This window comes from Homo sapiens, chromosome 19 (genome assembly GCF_000001405.40).
Source record: "Homo sapiens chromosome 19, GRCh38.p14 Primary Assembly".
In the NCBI taxonomy this organism is placed as follows: domain Eukaryota; kingdom Metazoa; phylum Chordata; class Mammalia; order Primates; family Hominidae; genus Homo; species Homo sapiens.
Window position 1 is genome coordinate 48,197,985 of NC_000019.10, and position 16,239 is coordinate 48,214,223.

The window sequence follows — 16,239 nt, forward strand, 5'->3', positions numbered from 1 at the left end:
ACTCAGGCTGGTCTTGGACTCCTCGGCTTAAGCAATCCTCCTGCCACAGCCTCCCAAAGTGCTGGGATTACAGGTGTGAGCCACTGTGCTCAGAACTAGGAAGCTTTTTTTTTTTTTTTTTTGAGTCTTGCTCTGTTACCCAGGCTGGAATGCAATGGCACGTTCCCGGCTCACTGCAACCTCCACCTCCCAGGTTCAAGTGATTTTCATACCTCAGTCACCTGAGTAGCTGGGATTACAGGTGTGCGCCATCACACCTGGCAAATTTTTGTATTTTTAGTAGAGACGGGGTTTCACCATGTTGGCCAGGCTGGTCTCAAACTCCTGACCTCAGGTGACCTGCTCGCCTCAGCCTCCTAAAGTGCTGGGATCACAAGCGTAAGCCACTGCGCCCGGCCTAGGAGGCTTCTAATAAAGATTCTATCACTCCTAAGAAGGCCTAGAGACATGATCAGGCCTAGACCTGCTGATGATTACCTTGGTATGGTGTGATAATGAAGTCCACACTGAGGATGACAGAGCTGAGATGAAGAAAATCTGGATCTTTGCTTGGCTCAGTTGAGTCTCTCGAGTCTGCTCTACCATGGGGCTTCTTAAGTAAAATATATCCTTTTTTGTTAGAGACAGTGTCTCGCTCTGGCCCAGGCTGGAGTGCAGTGGTGCAAACATAGCTCACTGCAGCCTTCCAGCTCTTGGGCCCAAGGGATCCTCCAGCTCAGCCTCCTGAGTAGCTAGGACTATAGGCTCGTGCTACCACCTAGCTAATTTCTTTTTCTTTTCTTTTCTTTTCTTTTTTTTAACTTTTTGTAAAGATGAGGTCTCTTGCTACGTTACTTGGGCTGTTCTCAAACTCCTGGCCTCAAGCGATGCCCCTGCTTCAGCCTCCCAAAGTGCTAGAATTACAGATGTGGGCCATTGCACCTGGCCAATCAAAGATACCCTAATGATTTAGGGAAGTTTGAGTTGGGGTTTCTGTTGTCGCAACTGATGAAGGGGATTTAATTCTATTATAGGTGACAAAGTCCAGGTTGAAGTAGCTCAGCATTTTTCAAACTTTAGCGTGGACGTGAGTCACGTGGGCACCTTCTTAAAATACAGAGTCTGACTCAGTAGGTCTAAGATAGGGCCCAACATTCTAGCAAGCTCTCCGATGATGTGGCTGTGCTGGGTTGTGGAGCACACTTTGAGTAGCAATGAAGGAACTTGAGATAAAAGACAATTCAGGCCGGGTGTGGTGGCTCACACCTGTAATTCCAGCACTTTGGGAGGCTGAGGTAGGTGGATCACTTAAGGCCAGGAGTTCAAGACCAGCCTGGCCAGCAAGGCAAAATCCTGTCTCTACTAAAAATACAAAAATTAGCCAGATGTGGTGGCGGGTGCCTGTAGTCCCAGCTACTTGGGAGGCTGAAGCATGAGAATTGCTTGAACCCAAGAGGCGCAGGTTGCAGTGAGCCAAGATCGTGCCACTGCACTCCAGCCTGGGTGACAGAGCGAGACTCTGTCAAAAAAAAAAAAAAAGAAAAAAAATGATTCAGTGGTTCAAGTCATGCGAAGTCAAAGGCTTTGATGGCAGCTGACTGCAGGGGCTCAAACAATGTCAGGTTTCCCCTCTCTCGCCTGCTTTTCGTGCGATGGATTTCTTCAAAAGACAGCTCTCTCCTGAGAAAGGGGGGGACTAGAAGTTCCCATATCACACCCTCCTATCTTGATCCAAAAATACCATTCTATCAGCATTCGTATATTAAGTCTCAAGGAAGCAGCAGGTTGGATTTATGGAGGTTATCAGTTATCCATGGCTACATAAATGCTGTGTTAACAACTATAAAACTTCCTAAGTATATAACAATAAACATGTATTTGGAATCAACCTAAATGCCCATCAATAATCATAAGCTAGATAAAGAAAATATGGTACATATACACCATGGAATACTATAGAGCCATTAAACAACTAGATCATGTTCTTTGCAGGGACATGGATGGAGCTGGAGGTCATTATCCTTAATGAACTAACACAGGAACAGAAAACCAAATACTGCATGCTCTCACTTATAAGTGGGAGCTAAATGATGAGAAGAAATGACACAGAGAGAGGGGCAACACACATGGAGACCTACTAGGGGGTGGAGGATGGGAGGAGGGAGAGGATCGGGAAAAATAACTAATGGGTACTAGGCTTAATACCTGGGTGACAAAATAATCTGTACAACAAACCCCCATGATAAAAGTTTACCTATACAACAAACCTGCACATGTACCCCTGACTTTAAAAGTTAAAACAATAATAAAAATGAACACGTATTGCTTATGAGTCTTGGGTCACCTGAGGGGTTGGCTAGACCCTTGCTTTTCAGTGTGGTGCATGCAACAGTGTCATGAACATTCCCTAGGAGCTTGTTAGAAATGCAGATTCTCGGCTGGGCACGGTGGCTCACACCTGTAATCCCAGCACTTTGGGAGGCTGAGGTGGGCGGATCACCTGAGGTCAGGAGATCGAGACCATGCTGGCCAACATGGTGAAACCCTGCCTCTACTAAAAATACAAAAATTAGCTGGGCGTGGTGGCGCACCTGTAGTCCCAGCTACTCGGGAGGCTGAGGCAGGAGAATCTCTTGAACCCAGGAGGCGGAGGTTGCAGTGAGCCGAGATCGCTCCACTGCACTCCAGCCTGTGCGACAAAGTAAAACTCCATCTCAAGAAAAAGAAAGAAAGAAAAAAGAAAGAAATGCAGATTCTCAAACCCATTCCAAAACTACAGAATCAGAATCTCATTCTAACAAGATCCTAGTATGCATGTTATACTTTGAAAAGCAAAGCAACTGATCATAAACCTACAATTATCGGAAATAGGCTTATTTAAAAAAAATGAAAGCAGCTAATCTTGATAAAGTAGCTGATCTTCGTTGGGCTTGCCCACATATCGGGAGTCATCTGGCTTTTGGGTGAACTAAAAAGGCCTTGGCAGGGCTTGGTGGCTCATGTCTGAAATCCCAGCACTTTGGGGGGCCAAAGTGGGAGGACCGCTTGAGCCCAGGAGTTCAAGACGAACCTGGGCAACATAGGAAGACCCCGTTTCTACAAAAATAGAAACAAAATTAGCCTGGTATGATGGTGCACGTCTGTGATCTCAGCTACTCAAGAGGCTAAGGTGGGAGGATCTCCTGAGCCTGGGAGGTCGAAGCTGCAGTGAGCCATGATTGTTCCACTGCACTCCAGCCTGGGTGACAGAGTGAGACTCTGTCTCAAAAAATGCCTTGGCCGGGAGGACTAGGGTAACTCGTTCAGCACGTAGACCCCTCCAGTACAACCCTATGAAACTTCCCTGCAGCCCCTGCCTTTGCAGACAGCTCTTCGTCTGCTGTGCTGCCCATTGCTTTCTTGCAATGTACTATCTGTCTAATAAATCTGCCTTTCTTTCCCTACGACTGTCTTGATAAATGCCTTTACCTCCCATGATACTGGCCCCAGCTAGTCACACCCGTGATGCCCATCTCTTTTTTTTTTTTGAGATGGAGTCTCGCTCTGTCGCCCAGGCTGGAATGCAGCAGCACGATCTCGGCTCTCTGCAAGCTCTGCCTCCCGGGTTCACGCCATTCTCCTGCCTCAGCCTCCCGAGTAGCTGGGACTACAGGTGGCCGGCACCACACCCGGCTAATTTTTTCTATTTTTTAGTAGAGACGGGGTTTCACCGTGTTAGCCAGGATGGTCTCGATCTCCTGACCTCATGATTCGCCCACCTCGGCCTCCCAAAGTGCTGGGATTACAGGCGTGAGCCACTGCGCCCGGAGATGCCCATCTCTTAAAATAAAAAATAAAAAAAAAAAAAGAAAGAGAGAAAGGAAAGGAGGCAGGAGGGATCCTGGGAAGGCAAACAACAGCTATTGAGCGCAAACCAAATCCAAAACTTCTCCACTTGCCTGTTTTATCATTAGATTCTTAGATGTGGGCTATCTGGTTAGTGACGGGAAGCTGAATTAATTCATTAATTGATTCACCAAATAACACACAGAACCCTGGGGTGGAAAAGAGCTCAGCCCATAAGGTAAAGAGAAGATGGGCCAGTGTAGATGGGTCAGAGTGTGAAAGAGGGAGAGATTTGGACAGTGAAATCCGCAAGCCCTTAAAGATAGAAGATGAGGTGAGTCTTTATCCTGGGAGGTATGGGAAGCCTTCAAAAGGTTTTAAACAGAGAGTGGCTTGATTGGATGTACATTAGAATAACCACCTCCCCTACCCCAGAAGCTTTACTGTGACAAATGGATTGGATGAGTCCAGACCAGGAAGAGACGTATGTGACCATAAACAAACAAATAAAAATAAATTTTAAAAAACAGGCAGAAGGATCTTCACAGAACTGGACCTTGAAGAATGTGTTTGCCAGGAAAAGAGAATGAAGAAGTACGTTCCTATTGGAGGGAACTGCACGTATTACAGTATTTGGCCCTTCAGGAAGGCAAGAGGAAACTAAAGGTTAGTAAACCTTAACCCTCTATATGCCCCACATATATAGCTCACAGTGTTAAATCAAGTTTAGCCTAAAGCTGCCTCCTTACATATTTTAAGTTCGGCCTGAAGGTTTTTCTGTACGTCGTGAACTATAACAAGTGGAGGTGTAAACAGAAGGTGGCCTACGCTTGTGCCAATCACCGAGTTTTGGGCAATCAAATGTAGCCAACTGTTCGAACTGTGTACAGCAAACGCCGAGCTGTAATCAATCCAGCTGTTTCTGTACCTCACTTACGTTTTCTGTATGTCACTTTCCTTTTTCTGTCCATAAATCTTCCACCACATGGCTGTGCTGGAGTTTCAGCCTACTCTGGCCCGAGGCTACCTGATTCGTGGATCCTTCATTGCTCAATTAAACTCTATTTATTTATTTATTTAGAGATGGAGTCTCGCTCTGTTGCACAGGCTGGAGCACAGTGGTGCGATCTCAGCTCACTACAACCTCCACCTTCTGCGTTCAAGCAATTCTTGTGCCTCAGCCTCCCGAGTAGCTGGGACTACAGGTGCCCACCACCATGCCTAGCTAATTTTTGTATTTGTAGTAGAGACAGGGTTTTGCCATGTTGACCAGGCTGGTCTCAAGCTCCTGACTTGAAGCCATCCGCCCTCCTCGGCCTCCCAAAGTGCTGGGATTACAGGCATGAACCACAGTGCCTAGCCAATTAAACTTCTTTAAATTTAATTCGTCTGAAGTTTTTCTTTTATCACAAGTCACATCAATCCCTCGGGCCCCTGCTCAAATGCCACCTCTTCCTGAAAGCCATCCCTAAGTAGTCTCTCTAAAGAGCCATCCCTGCCCCTTTCTTTGCTTTATCCTTCACAGCACTTATCACTACCTGAAATTATGCCACACAGCTATTTACCACTTTGGCATTGTGATTAAGCTTATCAAGTATGAAGCCAGACTGCCTGGGTTCAAATCCCAGCTCCACTACTTCCTTGTCATGTGACCTTCCAGCCTATGTTACAGTTGAGGGGTCATAATAGTACCTGTCTATAGGGCTTTGTGAGGATGAATGAATTAGTGTGTGTACCAGTGTTCTAACATCGCCTGCATTTCCATTTTTCCCAAAGCAGCCCAGTTACTTATTAACATACTGCTTTTTCCAGTGACACGTGTTCACAGTTATTAAGTCGATCTCCCGCCAAAATAGAAGCTCTATTTTGTTTTCCATTGTATCCCCAGTGCCTAGAACAGTGCCTGTTGCAAAGTAAGCTTTGAGTTAAAAAAAAAGATGAAAGAATGAAAATGGCAGACTGCCTAGCAGAACTAGCCCTTCCCGATGTTTCATTGTTGCTATAGTGACGATCCAGTCTGCACGAAGATCCCAGCTTCCTTAACCTTGTTCCTACCTCCAGCCAGCTCACCCATTGGCCACCTGTATCTCCTGCTGTAGCAGCCAGAAAGCTACAACTCCCAGCCGGCTGAGCGCCACCAGCGCTTTCGCGTCCAAGTCCCTTTGCTGAGTGTGAGGGCCTGCGCAGTAGAACCCGCGGGCCCAGAGCTCCATCTGAGCATGTGCAGGCTGCGGGGTGTTTCCTTCGTCTGCTGGCGGGAGAGGAGTGGGGAGGAGCTCTTTACCCGCTGAGCATTGTGGGGCCCGCTTGGATCTCCTTGTCCAAAGGGTCTGGGCGCCGGGGCTGCAGTCTCTGGGTGAGGAGGCGGACGCGGGAAACCTGCTTCGGTCTCCATGGTTACGAGCCGCTCAGCGCGCAGGAGGGGGATTCAAAGGTTGGCGTTGCCACAGTAACCCTGGAGTGGAAGGAGACGGGGATTAGAGACCTCGCGGGAGAAATTAGACTAACAGCCTGGGAACTGGAGGGATGGAGGGTGTGCCGGAGGAATCAGTCTGCAGTAAGGGGAGTTGGGGTGATATTAGGGGAAATGGGATGTTTTCAAGGACAGGGAGTGTTTTGGTGAATTCCTATGTAATAAGGAGATTTGGGGAGATCATTGAAATCGACAAGTTACTAGATACTTGGGATGCTCAAGGGGAAGTGGAAACGCAGTAGGATCCGCCCGCCTCAGCCTCCCAAAGCAGTAGGGAAAATTGGGGTATTAAGCTCTTTTGCCATTCTGCAGTTATTATAGAGCTCCTGCTGGAAGCCAGGCACAGTTGACAGTACTGGTAAACAGGACAGATGTGACTATAGACGGAATTGGGGTTTCATGGAGAAGGGGAGGTATAAGAAAAGGGGACTGTTGTCCTCTATGGGAGGGACTGGGAGGCGATTGGGAAGAACTGGCGCTGTAAAGAGAAGCTGGAAGTTTTATAAGGGAATTGAGGTATTATATAAGTTAATTCTGTTGTTATTTATAGAAGGCCAACTCAGTAGCAGCCTCTAGGAAGCACTGAGGATTCCTCAGTATGCAAAGGCATTTAGTGATAGAGTTACCAGATTTAGGGGGAAAGCAATGGCCAGTTAAATTCTAATTTCGGAAAATGCATAATATTGTAGTTACTCTCTGTTGTTTATCTGAAATTCAAATTTAGCTGGGCATCCTGTATTTTATTTGGCAGCTCTCATTATGGTTAATTTAAGTGTTTGTGAAGAGTGGGTTATTATAGGGGAAACAGGTATTATAGAGTAATTGGGTTGTAGGAGGAGCTGGGGATAGTCAGGAAAAGTCGGAGTGTTGAAGCTAACGCCAAGATCAGCACTGACTGTGTGCCAGAGACTATGCTAAGTACTCTTATTTTTAAAAACGTTTTATTATGGAAAGTTTCGGCCATATACAATTGTTTGCTTGTTTTTGAGATGGAGTCTTACGCTGTCGCCCAGGCTGGAGTGCAGTGGCATGATCTCTGCTCATTTCAACCTCTGCTTCCCGGGTTCAAGCGATTCTCCTGCCTCAGCCTCCCGAGTAGCTGGGATTACAGGTGCGCACCACCACGCCCGGCTAATTTTTGTAATTTTAGTAGAGAAGGGGTTTCACCATGTTGGCCAGGCTGGTCTTGAACTCCTGACCTCAAGAGATTCACCCACCTCAGTCTCCCAAAGTGCTGGGATTATAGGCGTGAGCCACTGCGCCTGGCCCATATACAATTGTTAAACAGATAATATATAATAAAGCTACTTGTACCCATCTCTGCTTTACATGAGTGCTGTTGAGGCATCCCAACATTCCTATGAGGTAGCGTTACTGTCACACCCCCATTTTACAGATGAGGAAACTGCACCACAGAGAGGTTAAATAACTTGGCCAGAGGTGTTAGAACCAGAATTTGGACCCACACAATCGGGCCCCAGAGTCTGGGCTCTCAGCTGCCATATCACATGTAACCTCCGTCTGGGAAATGTGAGTAGGGAGTGAGGCATGATGGGAGCAACAAGAGAGTAGTAGTAAGGTATAAAAGGAAAGGTAGGGAATTGGGCCGTTTGAGCATTGTGCAGTTGTTATAGGATTTTTATTTTTATTTTTTGAGACAGAGTCTCACTCTGTCACCCAGGCTGGAGTGCAGTGGTGCAATTTTGGCTCACTGCAACCTCCACCTTCTGAGTTCAAGCAATTCTCCTGCCTCAGCCTCCCAAGTAGCTGGGATTACGGGTGTGCGCCACCATGCCTGGCTAATTTTTGTATTTTCAGTAGAGACGAGGTTTCACCACGTTGGCCAGGCTGGTCTCGAACTCCTAACCTCAAGTGATCCACCCGCCTCAGCCTCCCAGAGTGCTGGGATTACAGCCGTGAGCCATCGCCCCCAGCCAGTTGTTCTAGGATTTTTATAAGATGTTTTGGGAGACTGGGGGAGTTACAGAAGAGTTTGGTGTTTTGAAACATTATGGGAAGTTGTATAGTTGCATTTCAATAGAACAGTAGCAGCTAGCCACATGTGGGTGCATTACATTAATTATAATGAAATAAAACTCAGCACATTTCAGGAAGCGCCTACCGTATTGGATAGTGAAGATCTAGAGCAGTCCCAATGAGTCTGGATAACAGGGATTTAGGGTAACCAAGGGTTAAGGCACAAGCAGGTGCAGCCAGTTCTAGGCAAGATTGGGCAGCATCCAGGCCACATCCTCACTCCTGTGATAACAAGACAGAAGTCTCCACTTCAGCCTCTTGATTGGTCACGGGCCAATCCTTCATAGGGTGTAACCAACTGGAGGCCTCTAAAGGGCACCTAGGGGTGTTACCAAATTCTTTTAGCTTAATGAAAACTCTAAAGAGCACTGCAGTCAGGGGCTCTTGAGCTACTTGCTCAAGCCCACTCCGACTCTGGAGTGTACTTTCACTTCCATAAATCTGTGCTTTCGTTACTCCGCTCTTTTGTTGCTTTGTTTGTGCATTTTGTTCAATTCTTTGTTCCACACACCAAGAACCCTAACAACTCACAGTCAGGACCTTCCATAGGGTAACACCATCACTGCAGAAAGTTCTGTTGGACAGCCCTGATGTGTGGGGTGACAAGTGTGGAGGCTTTCCTGGCTCCTAAAGTTCGACCTTATCTCTTAGCGATTGCTCTCGTACTTCCTCTGACTCACCCCTAACCTTCTCCTCTCTGTTCTACTAAAAATACAAAAATTAGCTGGGCGTGGTGGTGGGCACCTGTAATCCCAGCTACTCAGGAGGCTGAGGCAGGAGAATCACTTGAACCCGGGAGGCGGAGGTTGCAGTGGGCCGAGATCACGCCACTGCACTCCAACCTGGGCGACAGAGAGACTCTGTCTCAAAAAAAAAAAAAGAAAAGAAAAGAAAAAAAAAACCATGCTGAATTGGCCAAATATTTATCTAGGACTTCCCAGCCTGAGAACTGTAAGAAATAAAATTTTACTCTTTAAGCCACTGAGTCCATGGTATTTTGTTATGGCAACCTGAGCAGGATAAGGTAGTATACATACCTTTAACTTCACTGTGTAACTTCAGATTAATTTCCAAAATCAAGCATTACCTAACCAACAGCAGAACTTACATTTGTGCTCCATATACTCACCAGTAGTAGGCATTACTGACTTCTTAATAAATGGAAGTTTGATGAATATAAAATGTAGTATTTTTATGGCTTTTAATGAGGTTTCTGATAACTAGACGTATGAAATTCTACTTTTGTTCATTGTCCATTGCGATTTACAAACTGTAACATTTTACTCATAACGTTTGCCCATTTTTCACAAGGAGTTTTCTGTTTGTTTACTCATGTTGAATCATTTTTATGTATTATAAATATCACCTGATATTTACATCTTCTTCTTAGTAGCTTCATTCTAATGAACTTCTTCTTTTTTATTGTTGTTTTTCTGTTTTTTTTTTTTTTTTTTTGAGACAGAATGAGACTCTGTCAGCCAGGCTGGAGTGCAGTGGTGTGATCTTGGCTCACTGCAACCCCTGCCTCCCAGGCTCAAGTGATTCTCATGCCTTAGCCTCCCGAGCAGCTGGGATTACAGACATGCACCACCATGCCCGGCTAATTTTTGTAATTTTAGTAGAGACGGGGTTTCACCATGTTGGCCAGGCTGGTCTCGAGCTCCTGGCCTCATCTGATTCACCCACCTCGGCCTCCCAAAGTGTTGGGATTACAGGCGTGAGCCACTGCATCCGGCCTTCTATTTTTAATTTAGCATCCTCAAATAAATCAATTTAACTTCTAAAAATGTGTGCCTTTTTGTTTTAATAACATTAACCTATTTTTTTATTTTTGTAAATTTATGAAGTACATTCTTCAAATGTAACAATTTAGTTCTACTTCAAGATAAGGTATAGACAACTGCAAAATTCCACTGTCCTTACGATCACAATCATGAAGAGGATGGAGCTGCAGAATCTGAGCATATAAAGACTTTTATGAATTCTAACGCCCAACCCCAACTTGAGCATTCATTGCGCTGGTCCTAATTCACATTCAAACGCCCTGAGAATGGAGCTAACAGGATACACTGCACCCAATCTCATAGGCACACACAGGATAGATCCGAATACCACTGCAAAGACTTTTAAAATGAGCTGATATTAAGACCTCAGTTCACAGAAAGCCAAATAAATAATAAACATCTTCTGTTGGATACAAATAAAACAGAGTCTCATAAGATAACATTCACATTTCGAGGGTACATATCGGAACTACTGAGAATACAAGGATGAGCTGCAAAAATCTCCACTTGTCTGGCAAATGACAACTCAGTGGACACCAAACACTGAATAACATGTACAGTGAAATTATCTGACAAAGACTTTAAAAGAGACATTATAAAAATACTCAAATGAGGCCAGGCACGGTGGCTCATGCCTGTAATCCCAGCACTTTGGAAGGCCGAGGCGGGTGGATCATGAGGTCAGGAGATCAAGACCATCCTGGCCAAAATGGTGAAACCCTGTCTCTACTAAAAATATTTTTAAAAAAAAATTAGCCGGGCGTGTTGGCATGCACCTGTAGTCCTAGCTACTCAGGAGGCTGAGGCAAGAGAATCGCTTGAGCCCGGGAGACAGAGGCTGCAGTGAGCTGAGATCACACCACTGCACTCCAGCCTAGATGACAGAGCGAGACTCCATCTCAAAAAAAAAAAAAAAAAAAAAAAAATACTCAAATGTGCCAGGTGTAGTGGCCTGTAATCCCAGCACTTTGGGAGGCTGAGGTGGGTGGATCACTTGAGGCCAGGAGTTCAAAACCAGCCTGGCCAACATAGCAAAACTCTGTCTCTACTAAAAATACAAAAAATTAGCTGGGCTGTGGTGGTGCATGCCTGTAATCCCAGCTACTCTGGAGGCTGAGGCACAATAATCGCTTGAACCAGGAGGCAGAGGTTGCAGTGAGCTGAGATCGCACCACTGCACTCCAGCCTGGGTAACAGAGTTGAGACCCTGTCTTGAAAAAAAAAAAGCTCAAACAAGCAAATGCTGACACATTTGCAGGAAAATAGAATATAAGGCAAGAAATTTAAAATATAGAGAACAAAATGGAAATTTTAGAACTGATACATACAGTGACCAAAATTTAAAAGGTGGTGAATGCACTCAGTGGGACGACACAGATAACAACAGGTGAACACTCCAGCAAATTTGAAAATAGACAAATTAAAATTACCCAATCAGAATAATGGAAAAAATGAAAAGATGTTCTAAATAAGTAGAATATCAGGGACATTTAGGAAAACATAAAAGTCTAACATTTCCACAATAAGAGTCTCAGAAGAGGAGGAAAAAAACAAAATATAATATTGATTGATTCAACATAAATACTATGGTTTATTTCTAGATGGCAAGGAAAATCACATGTAAGAGGTTTCCATTTAAAAGAATTCCACTATTCATCAAAATTTTCATCTATTCTCAAGACTGTTGATTTCAAACTAGGTTTAGAGTAGCAAAGCATATGAATTTTACAGTAGAAGACATGAGAAGGATATAAAAGTTTGTTTTCTGTATTCTTTCAAAATTCTTATTTTGAAGGCCTTCTGGGCATATAAGCTATTGGAACTTGTCATCACTTAAACTATTTCCTATAAAGATGAAAATCAGGCTAATAAAAAGTATTTTTAGAAATTAGGCTGAAAACCTCTAAGTTTGGTAAAAGACATAAAACTGCAAATTTATGAATTGGAGCAAATTCCAAAGGGAATAAAACAAGGAAACTCATCCCCAACATAATGAAATGGCTAAAAACTAAAGATAAATACCTTGAAATCTGACAGAAAAATGACACACTACATACAGGGAAACAACAATTTGAATGACTGCAGATTTCTCATCAGGAAATACGGAAGCTAAAAGGAAACTGCTGAACAGAAAACAATGTCAACTAAAAATACTACAAGCAAAAAACATCACTGAGAATGAAGGTGAGAAAAAGATGTCCTCAGAGGAAGCAAAAAATAAGAGAATCTGTACCTATCAGAACCACTCTAAAAGAACTAAAAAACGTCTATCAGAGGAAGTGGAAATTTGCAGAACGAAATTTGGAAAATAATGAAGGAAGAGCAACAGAAATGGTAAATATCTGGAAAAACATAACAGATTACTCTTCTCATGAGTTTTTTAAATCTTCTGAGTGATTAAAAGTAGAAAATATATAATAATTTATTGATGGGTTTTAAGATACAGAAAGATTATGTAGAAGATAACTATATCCTAGATGAGAAAAGGTAATAGGATCTAAATGGTGATAAAGTGCCTAGATTCCACTTTAAGTGGTACAAATGTGATAACAGTAGAATAGAAAAGACATAACAAACTGGCTGACTGAGGATAAATCCTAACATATTAATAATTACATTAACGTAAGTAATTGAAATCTTCCAGTTAAAAGAGACTATCAGAATGGGTTCAAAATACACCATAAAAAAAACTGACTCAACCAGATGGTGTCTACTAGGAACTTGTTTTAAACAGATTAAACATAAAAGGATGGAAATATGTGTGCCACGAAAACATTAATCAAAAGACAGCTGAAATGGCTACAAAATGACAGAGTCTATGGTAGAATCCAAATGTCAGAGTTGGCTTATTTTTTGTATGGTACATTGCCAGGAATGTCTGTCTCAGAATAAGCTGAATTACCCTCATTTTCTTTTTGGTGGTTCTGTGGAGTTGATTTACCACATTTCATCTCAGTATTCCTTGGAGTTGACCATGAACATTTAACCCAACAACTCCTTGTAGCAGGCTACACACCAGTGGGAAAATATTTTCTGCTCATGTTTGCATTTTCTCCCATTTTTGTGCTCTCTTTCAGCAAATACATTTACATTGTTCTAATAACAGTAGCCATAGATAAAGTGTTAAAGTCCTAACATACAAAAAAAAAAAAGACTGTCATCATGTATGCCTTGAGTGTCCTCAGCTGAGAAGCTTTTGTTAGCTTTTCTGCTTTTAGTTATGAGAAGGTGATACTTCAAACGGAGTGTCCATAGGAATTATTTTTCACATTAATCAGGAAAAGTTGCCTTTCCAGGCCCCATCCTTCATAAACACACCTATCCGGATGTCCTTTATCCTGGGTCTTCAAGAATCATGTCAATGGATAAAATAGTGATATATCAAGCAATGGTTGGAAAAAATTTAAAAGGAATATTACTACCTTCTTCAGACATTCTTGAGGAAAATGCATGAGGATACAGTCAATAGGTACATGCCAGGTTACAAGTCTGTCCTGAAAGCCTGTGTGATAGATGTTACCCAGTCTTCTTCTGTCTTGAACACTGAAATCAATGATCACATTTCTGTTTATCCATTTCCAATGAGAACGCTGGATTCTCTCTTCCAGACTACCTAACTGACTCATTTTACAAATTCTGCTGTCTAAGATAGGACACGAGGTAAGGGTCCCTTTCACTAATGCTTCTGAAGAGCACGTCCAGGGCCAGGTCCCCTTTCTTCTCCACCATGCTCAGCAAGGCCTCATTCTTGCTCTGCCGTGTCTTTTCCTGCTCCACCAGCTCCTTCTCATTCTCAGTAAGAACCTCATTGTCTTGGAGATCATCGAGCACCCCTTTCAGGTCCCCCATCCTGGCTTGGAGTTGCCGGTGGTTCTCCTTCACAAAGGCTGCACCTGGATGAAAGGGGGAGTTTCAGACTTTGAGAATCGTTCACTTACAGGATTCAGGATCTATACCAAGCTTAGAGTCAAAATTCAGGGGTGGGAGATTGCTCCTTGTGTCTGTAGCTTAATTTGTGGACATACAAAATCACACACATTCACAGAGCAAATATACCCTTTGCAGTATCAAATGCATTGAGGTGTCTCAAATAATGTATCTTCCTCAGTCCTACTCCTCTCATCCATTTCTTGAAGCCTGTTTCTTCCTAGTTGGTGTTTTTCATTGAAATCCTAGACAGAGCTCTATCTTGCTGTACATACATTTATATATAAATCCCTCTAACAACGAAACACAAATCTTCTAGTTCATACATTGTCAGAAACTGTGCATGATGCTAGAGGTATGGAGAAGGATTCAGCTGGATCCCCAAAGCTTAGCTGGCAGAGCTATGAAAGAAGAGATTTAACTGGAGACATACAATGCATAGAAAAGGAAGAACAGGGGAAAAGATACAGACTTTTTTCCATCATGTAGACTCAGGGTTTACGTTGTGCCCCATATAATGTCTGTATAAACTTGGCCAAATCATATTACTTCCATATCACGTGGTTTAGAATGCATGGAGGTTGAGGTGTGATTTTGACTCAAGACATGTTCTGGACCAGCTTCCTGTAGACTGAGCTACTAAGCTTTGATTTCAACGTGCAGGCAACAGGTGCTATATTTTGCTCCACATCCTAAACATTATATTTAGGAAGGGTAGAAGCCTTTTGTTGGTGCTGCTCAGCCTGCAGTCACCACCTACAGAGATGTTCTTTGATTTATTTTAGGACGTCACCTTTATCTGATTCTTAACCAAGCTCCTTAGCTGATCCTCATTGCACCTCCAGATGTGAGGCATGATTTCTTTTTATTTAATCTGCCTCAATGGCCTTCCAGGCAACAACAGCTAGGAAATGGCATGATTGCCATCTCAGAAGGTGCTCTCTTTTTTCTCCCAGTGGTCTGTTTTGAGACATGAGTTCGGAAACTTACACTGTGTGGAGCCTGACAATGAAGCCAACAATATGGAAGGCGGGACGAAGACATGGAGAAACATTCCTCCCTTGTGATGTTGTTTGAGCCCATGAATCAGCCTCCCTGGAGTCAGTCCCACATCTCTTCCTTGAACTCGCCTGAGCCATGACACTCTTGATAATTTCACTCCATTTAAGTTGGACTTTCTGTCATTTGCCACACAAGACTTTACACAGATCCAGAGGACATTGCAGATTGCTGCCTTGGGTGATTTTTAAAATTAACGTGGACATGAAGTCATCAGGAGACAAGGAGTTCCAAACCTGGATTTATTGCTTACTAGATGATGGAAACTTGGTCCTCTCAGTGTTAACTCTATTTTATTTATTTACTTATTTATTTATTTATTTTGAGACAAAGTCTCACTCTTGTCCCCAGGCTGGAGTGCGATGGCACGATCTCGGCTTACTGCAATCTCCGCCCCTGGGTTCAAGCGATTCTCCTGCCTCAGCCCCCCGAGTAGCTGGGATCACAGGCATGTGCCACCACGCCCAGCTAGTTTTTGTATTTTTAGTAGAGGCAGGGTTTCACCATGTTGGCCAGGCTGGTCTCAAACTCCTGACCTCAGGTGATCCACCTGCCTCGGCCTCCCAAAGTGTTGGGATTACAAGTGTGAGCCACTGCACCCAGCCAACTCTTTATATTAAATAATGTAAATAATTTTTTCTCTGCTATATACTAATTCCAGTGTCCTTAACAGATCCTTGGCTGATATCTGCTCTTCACTTTTACAACAGCCCCACCGTTCCCCACTTCCTATTCATTCCCAACCCACACTCAATCATCCACGCTGTTTTGAAGAGCCAACACATTGTTATCCATCCTTTAATAGTTACTCTTGCCTTTCCGTCTAAAGTCCAAAATATTTCAACTTTTATTCTTGGACTTTCAACTGCCAGCTCTTGACTATCCTTCTCATGTCACCTTTACTCTGTCCCTCTAACAGTTTAATTCACAGCCATATCAAACTACTTTAACTTAGAGTTCCCCAGACGCAAGATATTAAATATTTACCCCCAATAATTTGCTGTTGTATGCTCTTTTGTGTCTACATGATGTCCTCACGCCCTTCTGGGACTAAATCATACTCATTGTCTGTATTTATGACATCAGTCATTCTTGGCAGATGACAAGGATGGAAGGAATGGAGCCTTGCTGAGAGATGCTGTTACAGCAGGCAGC

General features: G+C 43.5%; 1 protein-coding gene and 1 long non-coding RNA gene across 21 annotated transcripts in view, besides 1 other annotated feature; one reads left to right on the forward strand and one right to left on the reverse strand.

Moving 5' to 3' along the window:
• CARD8 (caspase recruitment domain family member 8) overlaps positions 5,164-16,239 on the reverse strand; it is a 52,799-nt gene continuing 41,723 nt past the window's right edge. For 18 of the 20 annotated variants that reach the window (NR_033680.1, NR_033678.1, NR_033679.1 and 15 more), the window contains one exon: positions 10,102-13,991. Coding sequence is in view for 9 of the 20 variants with exons in the window: in NM_001351786.2 (NP_001338715.1) it covers positions 13,726-13,991 (266 nt within the window). In the remaining 11 variants the exon portion in view is untranslated. Of the gene's footprint in view, positions 6,260-8,399; positions 8,537-10,101; positions 13,992-16,239 lie in introns of those variants that run through there. The other 2 variants (NR_147707.1, NM_001351787.2) reach the window with 2 other exon arrangements.
• Positions 6,106-6,275: an enhancer, noted in NCBI's record as "active region_14873". NCBI's record gives its function as "activates an Ori minimal core promoter by ATAC-STARR-seq in GM12878 lymphoblastoid cells {active_cell/tissue: GM12878}" and the evidence as "EXISTENCE:reporter gene assay evidence [ECO:0000049][PMID:35858748]".
• Positions 6,177-9,291, forward strand: LOC124904734 (uncharacterized). Its single transcript, XR_007067282.1, has 2 exons — positions 6,177-6,238; positions 9,201-9,291. It is a non-coding gene; the product is annotated as an uncharacterized LOC124904734 (long non-coding RNA).